Here is a 16,110-nt window from a genome sequence, read left to right as displayed (position 1 = left end):
GTAACAGAGATGGGGAGGAGACACGCTCCCTTCACAGCTGTCCTTGTGTGTCAGCCCAAGTAACAGATGGGAACAGCTGTGCCCCAGCCACATGTGCCCTCGTGAGAAAGCCAGCGCAGATCAGTGACTCCTTGTGATTTCAGAAAAGCAACTTGATCCTCTTATGGAAAGTGATGGTGTTTGTGGTTGTTTCATAGGGTCAGGAAAAGCCTAAGGAGAGACCCCCAGCCTCAAACTCTGTCCTTCAATAGGGGCCGAGCAACCCCAACAAAAATCAAAACCAAATTCCTGAACCAGAGAAGGAAGCACTTCCAATGTGACAGGTGCTCAGGGCTGGGCTTGTGAAGTTTTGCTTTGGGTGCCTGGAAGATGAGAAGAAAACAGAACTCACTTTTCTGTCTGGTTCTGTAGGAAACCACACACACAGAACCAGACACCTAGGAGTGGGCGGATAGTGATCATGCAAGGGCACCCTGTGTGATGAGCAGAAAGCAGTCGGGTGGGGTGTCCTGCAGGGAGGGAGGCAGGCTTCAAGCCCCCAGCAGCTCAGGCCACCAAGAAAAAGGATCCATAACAAAATGCTTTCATCCTCACCAGTGTCCCTGGTGATTCAGGGGCTCTTCCTCCTCGTGGAGATCATGGAAGGCATCTAACATGCCTGAGATGAAAGAGTATCCCTGCTAATATTAAGTTCCTTAATATTATTGACTTAATAATAAGCCAAGTTAATTGAAACATTGGATAGGTTTACCTCATCCAAACATAAAGGGACCACTATGATAAAGCCCTGGGATTGGACATTAAGGATTATTTCTGTGCTTTGTAGGTTTGTTTTTATTTATCTGGGGGTTTTATTAGGCCTACAGTCCAGACTCCCTCCCATCCCTCACTTCTCCTCTGGGCAGCCACTTTTTGTTACCTGTCCTTTGAAGTTTCTTAATGCATATCCAAACAGACACATATAGATCATTGCCTGTCCTTTTATTTATTATATGGTAGCAGGTTATAGAGAGGGTTTCATTTTTTTACGGTTTTCTAACTTTCCATTGTATGACGTATAATAATTAATTTAATCAGCATCTTATTGATGGACATTAAGTTTTTTCTAGTGTTCTTTGTGATTACCAACAATGCAGCCAGGAGTAACACTCCACGTATGTCATTTCACTCATATGCAGGTTTCCTATATGATAAATTTCTAAAAGTAGAATTGCAGGGCCAAATGGCATGTGGATTTTAGTGATTCAACCAAATTGTTCTAGATGCCCACAAGCAATCTATGAGAATTTTCCACATTCTCATAGCGTATATTCACACTTTGAGTTTTGCCATTCTGACAGGTGAAAAGCAGTGTCTCAGTGTAATTTCAATTTTGATTTTTCTTATATGAGTGAGGCTGAACATATTTTTATATGGGTAAGAGTTATCTACATTTCCTTTTCCGTAAACTCTTCATATCCTTTGCCCATTTTTTCTGAGTTGTTGGTCTTTCCCTCTGAATCTAGTAATTTTTAAAAACTGGTTATTGTATTTTTCAGTTTTAAAATTTCCATTTGGTTCTTCCTTACATTTTCTATTTCTCTGCTGTGACTTTCCACTTTGTCATTTGTTTCGAGCATTCATACTTGCTTTAAAATCAGGGCATTTGTATAATAGCTGCTTTATGATTCTTGCTGGATAGTTTCAACATCTGTGTAATCTCAATGCTTACAATTGCCTTTTCTCTTTCAAGTTGAGATTTTTATGGTTTTCAGTGTGATGAGATTTTGGATTGCATCCTAGACATTTTCAGTAGTATGTTATATTATTCTGGTTCCCATTTCAGTCTTTGATTTTAGCAGGCACTTGACCTGTTTAAGTTCAGAATGCTTGTTCCGGTTCACTTTGTGAGCTGTGGCTCAAAAGTCATTTCATTTTCAAAGCCTTTACAGTGCTATTTCAATCTGCCCCACTTGGGTGCTACCCTGATGCCAATCTGAAACCCGGGCAGTGTTTCAGACCAGTGTTCAGTTTTTCTGACCCTTGAATCTTTTTGCTGTGTTGTTTCTTGTCTGTTTTGTGCATGGGGCACTCAGAGTTCTAACCAGGATTTCATACACAAATTTAGAAAATTGCTTTCTCCAGTTCTCTCCCCCACATAGTCCTCCCCCAGCCTCTAGTTAGGAGTGGGAAGGGTATGGTCACATTACTGCAGGAGGAGGAATAAATGAGTGGGCTTCATCCACAATGTCCCCCCAGCAGCACATGGTGGCAGGGGAAGGGGTTAGCCAGCACAAAAGGGCAGATGTGGTCAAAATGTTTTTGCTCTGCTGGAAACACTGGTCATTTGGCTAAAAAGAGTTTTCTTGGGGTTTTTAAATTTGTACCCATCTGTGTTTCCGGGTGGTAGGCATTGCTAGAGCCCACACTGCCATACACGGGAGAAAAAAATTAATGAACAAAAGAAAACAAACACATAAACAACACCCAAGGCACTCCCTGCTACATGATGCCTTGAGTATGGAGGAAATCGCCAGTTTTTATTTCTTTTTCCAACTTCGGAGTCTTCTGTGGGTTGCTTTATAAATTTTGTCCAGAGCTTTTTGTTATTGTTAGTAGGAAGAATAGGGCGGAACATGCTTAGTCCATTTAGTCTAGAAACTAAGTTGTGGAGATCTACTCACTTTTTATGAAACTGTCCCCCAGAATATACTCTGTACCTGCCCCACCTTCCTGCTCCCTGAAAACCCCAGTAGGTCGTTTCTCCACGCCTGGGTCTGGATCATGGCCAGTAACGCTTTCTGACCCCACCTCCCCATGCCTCAGGGGTCACGTGGTCTCCGAATTTAGGTTCCATATCTCATCTAGCAAAGAGGTGAAGGCTTGCATGCTCTATAAACCATGTTACCCCTATACACCGTGCTTATCTAGGTAGTAACTGCTGATACAGTCCCCACACTTACCTCCTGAGGACAAACACTAATGCTCAGAGGCAGTGCCATTGAAGCCATAAGAAGGAAATACTTTCATAACCGCCTCATAATATTCAAAGTTTCTCCCCCACTAGGCAGTCAAATTTCACATTATTATGCCCTTTCTCATATCCGCTTCCAAATTATGCTGCCTCAAGCCTGCCAGCCAAAGAAAGGCCCTGTTCCCGAGCCAGCTGTGTCTCAGACAGTTGCTTACCTGCCAAGGCTTGAAGACTACCTCTGCACGGGTAATTAATTCTGTTCTCAGTCAAGGGCTTTCACATGAATCTGTTCCTGGTTTTCCCTATTTATAGGTTATTTTATACTCACAACTCTCCCTCTTTAACAAACAAAAAATAGTATGAAAACAATGTCAGCAACAAGAACAAATAAATAAATAAAAACTCCCTGCATCCTGCCACTCTGCTCTGATTACCACCATCTCTTCTTTCCTTTTCAGACAAGTTTCTTGGAATGGTAATCAATGAGTCCTCATATCCTCCCTGAGATTCATATCCTATCTCAGCTTTGTTTAACTCTCACCACTTCATTAAAGTTCATCAAGGCCTTCAACAAACTGAATATTGCCAACGCCAGAGGGTACTTGCTAGTCCCCCTAACCCGTCACCCTTTCTCAATACTCTCAGCTCTTCTGCTTCTGTGATAGTCCTCTCTTTTTCCTCCCACCTCTGTAATAGTTTTTCACCTTCTTCATGAACTTCTCAGCAGCCCATCATCCCTTCAACATGAATGTTAATAAGATGATGATGACGATGATGATAACCCTCCCCAGCATGTACTGAGCTCTTATGCCAGGTTCTAGGACAGGTAGCTGGAATGCATCATAACATTTAATTCTCATAAAAATCCATTTTTGGAATGTGGAAACTGAGAAATGTCAAGTTATTTGCCCAAGTTTAGGCAGCTATTCCATGGCAGGGGATTTAGGCAGGGGATTTACCAAAGAGATTCATCTTTGGTCTGTTTCACAGTTCACTTTGCATCTTCTCTTTGAATTATTTTGGCTGTTTTCATGGTCTTCCCGAGTGACATCTATCAAGAGGTTTTTCCAATCTGGGCTTCCGACTCCTAAATCAGACTTTCTCCTGAAGTTGTCAATCTGGATATCCTCTACTGTATTAGTCAGGGTTTTCCGGAGAAACAGAACCTATAGGATAGATAGGTATATCGATAAAAATAAATTTATTATAGGAACTAGCTCATGTGCTGATGGCAGTTGAAAGTTCAACAGATGATCTGCTGTCTGCAGACTGGAGAACCAGGGAAACCAATGATGTAATTCAGTCTAAGTCCAAAGGCCAGCAAATTAGGAGGCTAGTGGTAAAAGTTCCAGTCTAAGTCCAAAAACCTGAGAACCAGGAGTGCTGATATCTGAGGGTAGGAGAAGATGAATGTTTCAGCTCAAGCAGAGAGAGAGAGAGAATTTGCTCTTCTTCTGCTTTTTTGTTCTATTAGGTACTCAAATAATTGGACAATGCCCACACACATTGGTGAGGGTGGATCTTCTTTGTGCAGTTTTCTGATTCAAATGCTAATCTCTTCTGAGACACAAGCACAGACACATCCAGAAATAAAGTTTTACCAGTGATCTGGGCATCCCATAGCCCAGTCAAGTTGACACACAAAATTAACCATACACTTAGAAACCTCATAGAACTCATAATATTCCCTCCTCTATGCCACCTGATCCTTCTGCTGTGTTCTGGGTCTTTGTGATTGAGATAGCTAGCTTCCACCCAGTCGTACAGGGGAAACACACAAAACATTTTCGACTCCTCCTCTCTCCTTTGCCCTTCACTTATCATAAAGCCTATTAATTTTATTTCCTGTTTCTAGAATCCAGCTTTTCTTCTCACCCCAACTAGTACTCTCAGGCTCAGGTTCTCATACCTTCTCTTTTGGTTATAGCAATGAATTCCTACAAAGTTTTCCTACTTTCATTTTATCTTTTTTTAAGTCAGTAAGCTTCACTTAAAGTGTCTTCCCTCCTCCATTCCTTCCCCCTAAAACACCCAAAACATAAACATGGCAATTTGGGTTATCTATTGCTGTGTAACAATCCACATGAAAACTTGGAAGTCTAAGATAATTTATGATTATATCTCCAATTCTGTGGGTTGTTAAGGGGCAATCCTCAGTTGGGGTATTTCATGCAGTTGCATTCAGATGGTGGCTTGGAATGGAGTCATCTAAAGGCCTGACTTGGCTGGATGTTCATGATAGCAATGCACAAGATAGTTTTGGCTGGGAGCTCAGCTGGGGTGACTGACCAGAGCACCTACATGTGGCATCTCCATGGGGTTTAGACTCTGACCGCATGGCAGTTTGCTTCTAAGAGGAGATGTCATGGTCCAGGAGCTAGTATTCTGAGAGAACTAGGCAGAAGCTGCAGGACTACTTAAGACTTCTTCTTAGAATGTCACTTCTGTTGTCTTCCCTAAGCCAAGCAGTTGCTTAGGCCAGCCTAAACTCAAGAAGAGAAAAATTAAAGCCTACCTTTTAATGCAGTGAGCAGTACACATGCACAGAGAGGAAAGCCAGTGAGGTGATATCTTGGAGACTATCTACCTCAATGACCATATCATTTTCATGTGTCTAACTCCTGAATTGCTCACCAATCACTGGGACATGAAGTCCAAGCTCCCTGTAGTACAATGCATAGACTTTCTAGAGTTTGCAACACTGACTTCTCCAACATCTTTTCCTTCCACTCCCAGCCCTCCACATTTATTGCTTATACATCTCTCTATCCTGCCTCTGCCATAGACCTTAATGGTTATTCCCTCTCGCCACCCACCTTAATATCCTTACTAAACCTTCTTTTCTTAGTCAACTTCTACTTCATCCTTTAAGGCCACTTAGACACCACATCCTCCAGGAAGCTCTCCTGGAATCCCAGCTTGGGTAGGGTGAGCCACTTTTGTGGGCTTCTGTTGCACCCTTAGTGCACTTATCATAATACTTGTTATAATATAATATTTGTGTTGATATTATACATTCATGTTTCTCTTTCCCTTCACACCCCTAGATGATTAGCCCCTTGAAGGCAGGAGCCATATCCCATCCATCTTTGTACCTTTGGTGCACTTTGGTGTGGTAGCTTTGCAATGTGTCAACTTGCCTAGACAGAACTACATTTCCCAGAATTTCCTCCCCTGCATGTTTCTGGTTAGAGTGAGCCACAAAAGAGCCTCCTATGGGACATGTGAAGGTTGGAGGTGAAGCAGCAGCCTTTTTTGTAGCTCACACATATGCTGCTTGTTGCTGGTGTGGGACAGCAGGCCCCTGCTGTCCTGCTTTGGCCTCTTGGCTCCTGGGCCAGCTCTGTGATAAAGGGCACAAGCTTTTCCTGCAGGACACCCACACCATCAAAGTCAGAGGCAGCAAGAATTGGCATGAGTCTCAGTCCATCCTCATGGGTTCCAGCTTGTGCCCGTGGGCTCCATCTTGTCCTTGCTTCCCCACTGCCTGCCTTGTGGACAATGTCCTTACAGAGATTGCTTAGCAAGAACCCACAACTTTGTAAGGTACAAATCCCTGTAACAAAGATACACACACACACACACATAGGTATATATGTATATGTGTGTATAAGTGTGTGTCTGTGTGTTTGACATGCATACATAAAACATGTATTACCTCCTAGTGCGTCTGCTTCTGATTGAACTATGACTGACATAGATGAGAGGGTTTATCAGGAAAAATTTGAGACATGTCAAAAACAATGACAAATCACCTGCTTTTTAAAATAATCATTGCTGTAATAATATTACAACTAATCATATCTCCATGCCGTCTCTTCACCATCCCACAGGACAGTGTCAGAGAGGCTGGGTTCGAGGCTGGCTCTATCACTTTCTAGCTATGTTTGTTGGGCAAACTCCAAACCTCAGTTTCCTCATCTGTAAAATGTAAGAAACAATTGTGTCTACCTCATGGGTTCATGGAGGATTAAGAGATAATACACTTGGAGGATTAAGAGATAATACACTTGAATTTCTTAGTATGTGCCTAACATGTAATTAATGTTTAAACCAAGTTAGCTAATATTAACTGTATAAAATACATAACTACTTGTAGATAGCACATTTGTCCCCATAATAATTTATATTCCATCCATGTACATTTACACTCATAATTCAGAAACTGCATTTGTGTTATTGAAGTGCAGAGATTACAGTGCACTTCAGAGGTCATGAGTATAAGTATTTTTACACTGTTCCGAATCATTTATGGGTTAAAAAGTTTATAATAAAATATCTCAAAAATTAATAAAAGTATAAGATTAAAATTATGTAGTCTGCTTGCTTGTGTTGATGGCATTAAACCCAGAATGAGATAACCCCTTCATTCCTTTGGCTCTTTCAGAAATCATCCTTCAGCCTTAGAGTTTTAAACTCTTCCTTCTTTAAAAACTGAATCAGACTGGGCGCAGTGGCTCATCCCTGTAATCCCAGCACTTTGAGAGGCCAAGATGGGTGGATCACTTGCGGTCAGAAGTTCAAGATCAGCCTGGCCAATATGGTGAAACCCTGTCTGTACTAAAAAATATAAAACAATTAGCCGGGGATGGTAGCGCACGCCTGTAATCCCAGCTACTCTGGAGGCTGGGGCAGAAGGGTAGCTTGAACCCAGGAGGCGGAGGCTGCAGTGAGCTGAGATCATGCTACCGCACTCCAGCCTGGGTGACAGAGGGAGACTCCATCTCAAACAAACAAACAACAACAACAACAACAACAACAAAACCAAACCTGAATCTATCTATACATTTAAAACGGCTTTGTAAATTCCAAATCATTTGTCCTTTTCACTTTATCTTTTTAGAGTAATTTCAGAAGGTAGACATAGCCATGGCATTTAGAACCAGTTTTAATATTGATCTGTCTAGAAGCCTTCCAAGATCCCACTAAAATCTTTACAAAATGAGGAAATGAAGACAGTTTTTAGAAGTCCCATTGGTTCTTAGGGACAGGGCTTGCAGGAATGTGCAAGACAGAGGGTGAGAGAATGACTTGGGATGATGTGACTTTTCTATTCATTTTGCCTTTTGGAACATTCAATTTTTCTGAGCTCTCTTTGTTTATGAATTGAAAATGCTTTTGTTTATTAAGTTAATTAAATTATTTTAAGAACATAAACAATGCGAGATAAGGGACTCAAACATTGTGAGCCTCTCTGTCTCTCTCTGTGCTAACAAACGGTCGGTGTCATAATAAAACAAGTATATTTCTAAATAAGGCAAAAACGCCCGGGTCCTGTCTGATGAAGCAAGAAGCCAGACAGAGCTTCCTACTGTTTCTCCTGCCCCTGACGCACACTGGGACCCTCAGAAACTCAGCGTTATATGACAGAGACAAAAGGTTAGTTCCCAGACAACAATGGACAATGCCTTGATATTTGTTTATCACCCCTCAGCGACTGGGGAAGGCTCTAGATTGTGAGAACTCAAAGCAGGGCTTTCCCATATCTGCCTTAGACTGTAACAATCTGGATATATACATATTCTTACCCCACTACCCTATACACATCTTGAGAGCAAACCACAGTCTGTATTCCCACTTGTCATGTAGGAGGCATTACAAATCAATTATATTCTACAGAATAGAGAAACAATTTGCGTTTTTTAGCAAATTAAACTTTAGTTCAAATATAATGTTATACACTTCAAATATTGAGATTAAGCAAACTAAAGCCTCACCCACTCCTTTTTCAGCACCCTTAAATGAGTTCCTAGGAGGCTCCAGAACCTTGTCTTAAAGATAAACGATGAGATGAAAATGCTTGCATTTCTAAATGCTGTTTCCTGAGGAACTCAATGTAATATTTTTAAGGTTCAAGAAGATGGAGTGTATATCTTGAGTCATAGACAGAACACGTTCATTGTCAGTGCTGGGCTCAGCATGTGACTGACGGGTGCTGATCCTGGCTCTTACAGTCCCCAGATTCTGAGAGCCACCTGGCACAAGGGGCATCCTCCTATGCTGCAGATGGCCAAGGGCAAAGGTCAGAGGGCCTGATGCGCTCTTGACTCTTTCTTGCTTCTATCTTGCCTCTAACTCCTGCCTTCCTATGCATGGGCTTCCTTCCATTACCTGAATCACCACAGCGCCTATGAATTCCCAGTAAGCAATTTGTTTAAAATGTAGACCCACTCAACTTCCAGGAGCTCGTGGAAGATGGGTGGGTATACATTTTTAGGAATGAGAAGGGAACTAGTATTTCAGTTCCTATCCTGAAGCATGCATCATCCTCAAATTGAAAAGAAAGTGGATAAAATTAGAACATGTTCACTGCCTTTGAGGAACTCATGGTCTCATGGAAAGACAGCATGTCCTATCTTGTACTGTGGATTTGTCTTGAGAGCAGATGTGATGTCTCTTCCAGAACTGTTGGGGGCAAGAGTAGGGTTCTCCCAATGCCTAGGATCATTGATCATTGTGATCATGATGCACAAAACAGTCTAGCCTGTTCTTCTTAAGTTTCAAGTAAATTTCAAAGATCCAAGGAAACCCATGTGTCATGACCTCCAAAATAAAATTTGGAGACGAAGAATGATGGCTTTCTGCTCTTAGAGGAGGAACAGATGACAGGAAGCAATGTCACTGGAAGTGGGGTTTCCTCTTTTGTGAAATCCACATATTGCCATTTGTTTCCTGTTGTCCTCGGTGTTTTGTCAGTAGCTTGTGGAGGAGAATGAGCAGAGGTGTGCTTTATTGTGTCTGAGCCACAACGCTGACTTTATGATGATACAGCTGTGTTCTTGCTGTTCACCTTTCATTATTACTTCCATGGAGTTCACTGCTGGCTACTATACATCACAACACTGACAACTGATGTAACCTCTGACAAGTTTAGCTGTAGCCAGTGGGACCTGTGTTCTAGATGGTTTGATTTGTGCCTACAGCTTCTTGTTTGGATGATAGATTATACAAACACCCAGGTCATAGCCAATACGCAGTTATACAGCTCACTTTTTTCGTGTGATTTTGGTTGGGTGATTTTGTTAACGAGTATTTACAGTTTTTCACACCTAAACTCACAGTATGAAGCTACTCCATGTTTATTGCTTTGCATGGTACTGCAAAACTGCATTTATTGTGCTTTCATCAGAAACGCTTCTTTGAGACATAAACATTGCCTGTTTTTCACTCCGTTTTTAAAAAACAAATTAAGCAGGCACTCATTTATGAAGGTACTTCAGGTAAAAGAGAGGAAAGGTTCCCAAAAGGGATGTGTGGGGGCCACTTGAGGGCTGTCTTTCATGTCAATCTCAGCCATTCCTCAGGAATTTCTATTTTCTTTTTGACACTGCCCAAGTGGCAATCCCACCCTGTCCCCTGTCCCTGACCTTGGACACGGGGAGCAGCACTGTCCCACGGAGGGGGAGACAGAAGAAGGGAAGATGGTGAGCCCAGCCACTCCTCAGCCCAATTGGGTTTCCTCAGCAACATCTTACCCCAGACTGTCCTCTCTCTTCGCTCCTCTGCTCCAGACAGGATGGTTTCCATGTGCTGCTTCTCTGCGATCTTTCTTTCCTCTTATGTCTTTCATTATGAAACCAAAGTGCTAGAGGGATTGGGGACTATGGGGGACCGACAAAATCCCATGTTCATGAAGAAGGAAGAGAATGCTCGTGGGAGGGGGGCTGAGGCCTGCAGACATGGGGATGGAAAGTTGCCGCCTTAGTCATCTGAGGCTGCTCTAACAGGATACCATACACTGGGTGGCTAATAAGCAACAGATGTTTGTTCCCACAGTTCTGGGGGCTGGGAAGCTCAAGAGCAAGGCACCAGCAGATTCAGCATCTGGTGAGGGTCTGTTTCCTGGTTTGTATAGAAGGTGCCTTTTCCCTGTGTCCTCATATGGTGGGAAGGGCAAGGCAGCTCTCTGGGGCCTTTTTTATAAGGGCACTGATCCCACTCATGAGGACTTTCATGCCCTGATCATTTCCCAAAGGCCCCACCTCCTAATAATACCATCACATTCAGACGGCAGCAGCCTCCTCTTCATTCTGAAAACCTCCCTCAATAACAATCTTTGTTTCAAAAGGATTTCAAGGCAGAGATTTTGATACCCACTGGGGCTTTTATCCTGTTTTTCAGAGGTTTGAGAGGGTTGACAACAGCTGTGGTTGGAATAAGAGGAGTTAATGGTAATGGAAAGGAAGTTGACACCTGAGGAGGACAGTTGGGGTCACAGGATAAAGTGCCTACAAGGTTTCTATCACTGGGAAAGCTGACTGGCTAACCCTGGCTGCTTGGAACGCCGTGTCTATGCCATTCCACCTTCCTCGCAACTTGGCAGGTCTTCATCCAGACTCCATCCCTGCATTACCTTTCCTGGTCTCCATTAAGATGCAGCCTTCCCGAGGACAAGGGAACTGCTGGGCGACTTAGACAGTGAGGCCCTTTGCTGCTCATCACAACCAGCGTCTCTGGAACCCCAGAAAGGCAGCCTGGGATCAGGCGGAGGCAGACATTACTTATGGATGAAGGGGTAGAGAGCGAGTCAAGGGGTAGAGAGAGGGTCTAGGTGTAAAACGGGCACCAAACCACCACACAGGACTACCCCAGTCAGGATAAAAGGTGAGGCTATTTAAGCATCAGAACGTGCTCCCTCGACCCCAGAGCCTGCCCAGAATGTTGGGGGCTGCCACCTGCTTGCCTGCGAGGCCTCCATGCTCTCGGGCGCTCATGTTCCCATCTGCTTGCTGCAGCACTAATGAAGAAACTCGACTGCCAGGCATGCTTGGAGGAATAACTCATGAAACAGATTGTAAAGCCGGGGCCCATGACTTGCTCTTTTGGGACTTGGCACTTACGTCTCTTTTTCCATTTGCACCGACTGAGCAGGAGGCCAGGCCTCCCCGCCCGGGCCTTGCGAGCGAGGCCCCTTTCCTCTGTCCGCCAGTTCTCCCACTCGGCCCCCACACCCCCAGGAGGAGATGCAGGGGAGCTCTGCTGACGCCGAGGCCGCGCCTGCTCCACATTCCAAGCGGGACACGGCCTGAGTCCCGTGGGCCCTGCCCGGAGGCCCCTGGGTGTGAATCTGTTTCTCCCCTCTCGCTGGCTGCCGCGCCGCCTTCAGGCTTTTTTTTTTCTCGCTCTCTCTCGCCGTTCCCCGGGCAGGCAGCGTCTGCTTTTCAGCGCGCGGACATTTCCGGCTGGCGGGGGACAGAAGGGACCGCGGCCAGCCAGTTCCCGTTCCCGTTCCCGCCTGGCTGCAGGCGCAGCTGCGATGACTTCATGACTCTGCAATGGCCGCGGGGCCGGGAAACAGGGCCGGGATTGTATTAACGGGATGGAAAGTAGCAAGTTTGAAAGAGACCCGTGGCAGACTCCACCTCCTGCCTTACTACCTTTTTTTCAAAAATTGCTCTTATCTCCAGCAAAAACTCCCTGAGTGCCTTTTCCCTCTCCTGGCAGCACTGGAAGGAGGGCCGCCTTGGAAAACGTGTCCTCCTCAGACCTGAGTCCCCCGGGCCCTCCTCAGCCAGGATCAATGTAGAGGGAATGCCAAATACTCAACCGCCTTTAGGTGGGGTTTTAGGTTTGAGGGGAAATAATGAAATTTTGCATTTGAATCTGAAAATGAGTCTGGCAGCCTGAGTGGTTGGGTGAAGAAATGGCCCTGTTTCTCCTATTAGCTTGTCCTCCCACCTCGGGGAGAGTCTGACCCGGTGAGGTGGCCACAAGACCCTAAGAGCCCTGCTCCACCGAGTTCCAGAACGCGGAGAACTGAGACCCAGGCACCACGTGACTTGATTGTCAAGCTGCCTGACATTTCAGTGTGGTGGCAATGGACCTGGTGTGCCTGGGTGGGAGGAACATGTGGACATGGATTGTCAGATATGACTATGTACGTGGTGGCATTGCTTGTGATGGTGAAAAATTGGATTGTTTATCAACAGGGAATCAAACAGGGAATAAGTAAAGTGTGTGTGTGCTGTATTTATATGATGGAATTGTATACAGCAGTTAAAATAAATAAAAGTGATCTAGTTGAACTAGCCTGGGATAAGGCTCAAAAAAAAAATGAGCAATTTGCAGAATGAAACTGCAGTATGAAACCATTTATGTAAGAAAAGAATGAGGGCGAGGGAGAGAGAAAGAAGAAAAGAAAAACAAGAAAAACCCTCATGAAGAAATACCGCTCTCTGTGCTGCACTATAGGCTACTATAGACCATATATAAAAGGACTGCAAGGCTAAATCCCCAAACCCCAAACTATCCAAGGGGAGGGTTCAGAGGGATAGAAATTGGAGAATGTGGTCAAAAGGCACTTTTGAGTAAATGTCCTAATATTTCAGAAGAGAATGAATTCACTTATTTCTTATGTAATTAAAAATTCATTACAAAATAGGGGAAAATGAAGTGTTAGTGGTTTACAAACTTCATCCATCCAGATTGAGCAGATGTGGAGCTTTGCCATTGACTTATTTGTGAGTAATTAGTGGTTTCGGTTTTTTTTTCTTTTGCTGAGATGCAGCAAATTGATATGATTAAAAGGGTGAGACAAGGTATGTGTGAGTGTGCGTGTTCATAAATCAACAGGTGACTGTGTTAAGTAACCCTCAAGAGAGTCCTTTTTCAAGTAGTTAGTCTGTCATACGTGGCCTTGCTGAGCCGCAGGGTCATCATCCCGTCAGGCCAAACACGGGGCTGCAGCATTTATTGCTCTAATTGTGCTGTTTAGAAACAGGTGACACACAAAGGCTAGGGAGCCCTGATCTGTTTTTGGAGACCTGCCGTCTCCCTTTGTACCTTCCACTTGGAAAATCTTGCAGGTAGACATCAATTAGCAATGCAAACACCATGTTGGAAATTCACTTTATTTGGGGGCTTGTTGGGGGGGGGTGGTCAGGTAAGTGAATAATTTAGCTAAGAATTCTGCAAACCCAAAGGTAGTGATTACTATAGACAGAGATTTTAAAATATGGATGAAGCTTGTGTGTGTGTGTGTGTGTGTGTAGAATTAACAATACAAAATTTTAAAATTATTTTAAAAACATTCTTTTATTAAAGGAGAATATTTAAAATTAGAAAATAAATTATAAACTTATTAGGAAATAGCTTGCTTATGTTTTAGAATCAGTATGAATATTACTAGTTGTTTTCAAAAATAATATTTTCCCTAACTATAATAGTTATATTCTCATTGTAGAAAACTCAGTAAAGAAAAGTGTAAACAACACAATTAAAAGCAAACAAAAATGAAGCAGTAGCTAACTCCTGATGGTTGAATTATGGATGTTTTCTTTTAGACTTTTCTATTATAAATATAACAAAATCTCCATCCTACTGGTGATATTACTTTGTAGCCTGTTTTTATCATACTGTTAATATGTGAGAGGCCCCCAATCCAGAAGTTTTCCTGTACCTCCTTCCAGCCAGTTTCCTACCCACCCCAGGCATTGGTGGCCACTGGTCTGATTTTTATCACTATCGTGTTGCCTTTTTCGGAATGTGATATGAATGGCATCATACAGTATGTAGCCTTTTGTGACAAGCTTCTTTCATTTATCATAATGCTTTTAGAGTCTTCTATGTTGTTTCAAATATCAGAAGTTCTGTCTTTTGTGCTGAATAGAACCCCATTGTATGGGCATATTACAATTTGTTTATCTATCATTTGCGGGGATTTGCTGAACATTTAGATCTAGTCTGTGGGTCAAAGTCTGTCACCTGTTTTGGAATACTCTTGGATATTATTTCTTCAAATAATGCTCTGCCCCATTTCAGCCTCTCCTCTCCTTCTGGGACTCAAGTTGCAGCTGTGCTAGGGAGCATTTGATTGGGTTCCTTATATCTCTTATGCTCTATTTTGTTCTTTTCCTTTTTTTCTCTTGGTGCATCAGTTGGATCTTTTCTGTAGATTTCAACTACACTGTATTTTTTCTTTCAGATCCTTGAATATTTCTGATGCTATTGCTATGAGGCTGGTGCAAATAGAATCTGAAATTTTACTTCCATCCCTTTTTTGCCTGGTTAATTCTTAGTCATCATCTAGATTTTGCTTCCCCAGGAATGCCTTCTCTGACCTCCAAGATGAAGCCGGATGACAGCCCCTCAAAGTACTAAGCCTCTTTCCTCTTGAACACTAACCAAAGTTGCAGAATTTGTCTGCCTTCCTCTCTAGACCATAAGCTTTACAGGGCAGAGATTGGTCTGCTTTTTGTTTATTGTTGTTTCCCCATCTGTAGCCTGGTTCCTGAAACATAGTAAGATCCTAATATTTTTGAAATGTTCCCCCTTCAGGTAGTTGGGGGTTGGCTTCCTGAGATTCTTTAGGTAACCTCATCATAGCTCGGGGTATCTCATCTATGCCTTTGCACCAAGCATCCCACGCTTGGTGATGGTCTTTACAGAAATGTCTACTGCATGTGGCCTTAGTTGACTTCAGAGATGGAAGATCAAACCAATGCAAGAAGGGCATGATCAGAGATATTTCTGCCATAGCATGGTTAGAATACCAAGCTGAAAACAGAACATAAGCTTGAACATAGCTGTAGTGGATAACCCTCAGACTCATGGGGAACTGTTGGCTCTTTTGGCTGAACTCTTGGTTATAAACTTCTAATTTTGCGGTTGACCTAGAAATTCTCATTTCTGGAAAATGACTGAGCCAATTCTCTGTTCTCCTAGTTTGCAAAGAGCTTCTGTTGTTTCCGACTAACATTAACTTGCCACACTGGCTTACTTTCACTCTTATTCTCTAGGGGAACAAGGTTTCTTTCTTTCCTTCTTTCTTTCTTTCTTTCTTTCTTTCTTTCTTTCTTTCTTTCTTTCTTTCTTTCTTCCTTTCTTTCTTTTCTTCCTTCCTTCCTTCCTTCCTTCCTTCCTTTCTTCCTTTCTTTCCTTTTCTTTTCCTTCCTTCTTTCTTTCGTTCTCTTTCTCCCTTCCTTCCTTTTTCCTTTTCCTTTCCTCTTTCTTTCTATATGTTCTTCCCTGAGGAAGACAAAAATTTGTAACTTCCTTTCCCTGAGGAAGACAAAAATATATAAGTCCATACAGTATAATTAGAATTTCAACCAAAGGAGCCTCATTAATAAACTTCAGAGGACATAAATTTTTCACTGGGTAAGTAGATGAGTTCAGTGTCCTATATAATATATCAAAATGCCCAGGAAATTTTTCTG

General features: G+C 42.9%; 1 long non-coding RNA gene across 1 annotated transcript, besides 2 other annotated features; it reads right to left on the bottom strand.

The window, feature by feature from the left end:
• Window positions 1-965: 965 nt before the first annotated feature.
• Window positions 966-12,048, bottom strand: LINC02872 (long intergenic non-protein coding RNA 2872). Its single transcript, NR_161226.1, has 2 exons — window positions 11,794-12,048; window positions 966-4,119 (listed from the first exon to the last, which is right to left on the bottom strand). It is a non-coding gene; the product is annotated as a long intergenic non-protein coding RNA 2872 (long non-coding RNA).
• Window positions 11,429-11,936: an enhancer, noted in NCBI's record as "H3K4me1 hESC enhancer chr9:89763671-89764178 (GRCh37/hg19 assembly coordinates)". NCBI's record gives its function as "activates a minimal SCP1, AML or CMV promoter by ChIP-STARR-seq in naive H9 embryonic stem cells {active_cell/tissue: H9 hESC(naive)}" and the evidence as "EXISTENCE:reporter gene assay evidence [ECO:0000049][PMID:30033119]".
• Window positions 11,937-12,445: an enhancer, noted in NCBI's record as "H3K4me1 hESC enhancer chr9:89763162-89763670 (GRCh37/hg19 assembly coordinates)". NCBI's record gives its function as "activates a minimal SCP1, AML or CMV promoter by ChIP-STARR-seq in primed H9 embryonic stem cells {active_cell/tissue: H9 hESC(primed)}" and the evidence as "EXISTENCE:reporter gene assay evidence [ECO:0000049][PMID:30033119]".

Source organism: Homo sapiens, chromosome 9, assembly GCF_000001405.40.
Source record: "Homo sapiens chromosome 9, GRCh38.p14 Primary Assembly".
Lineage (NCBI taxonomy): Eukaryota > Metazoa > Chordata > Mammalia > Primates > Hominidae > Homo > Homo sapiens.
The sequence above is the reverse complement of the archived record's forward strand: the minus strand, read 5'-3'. Positions and strand labels throughout refer to the sequence as shown.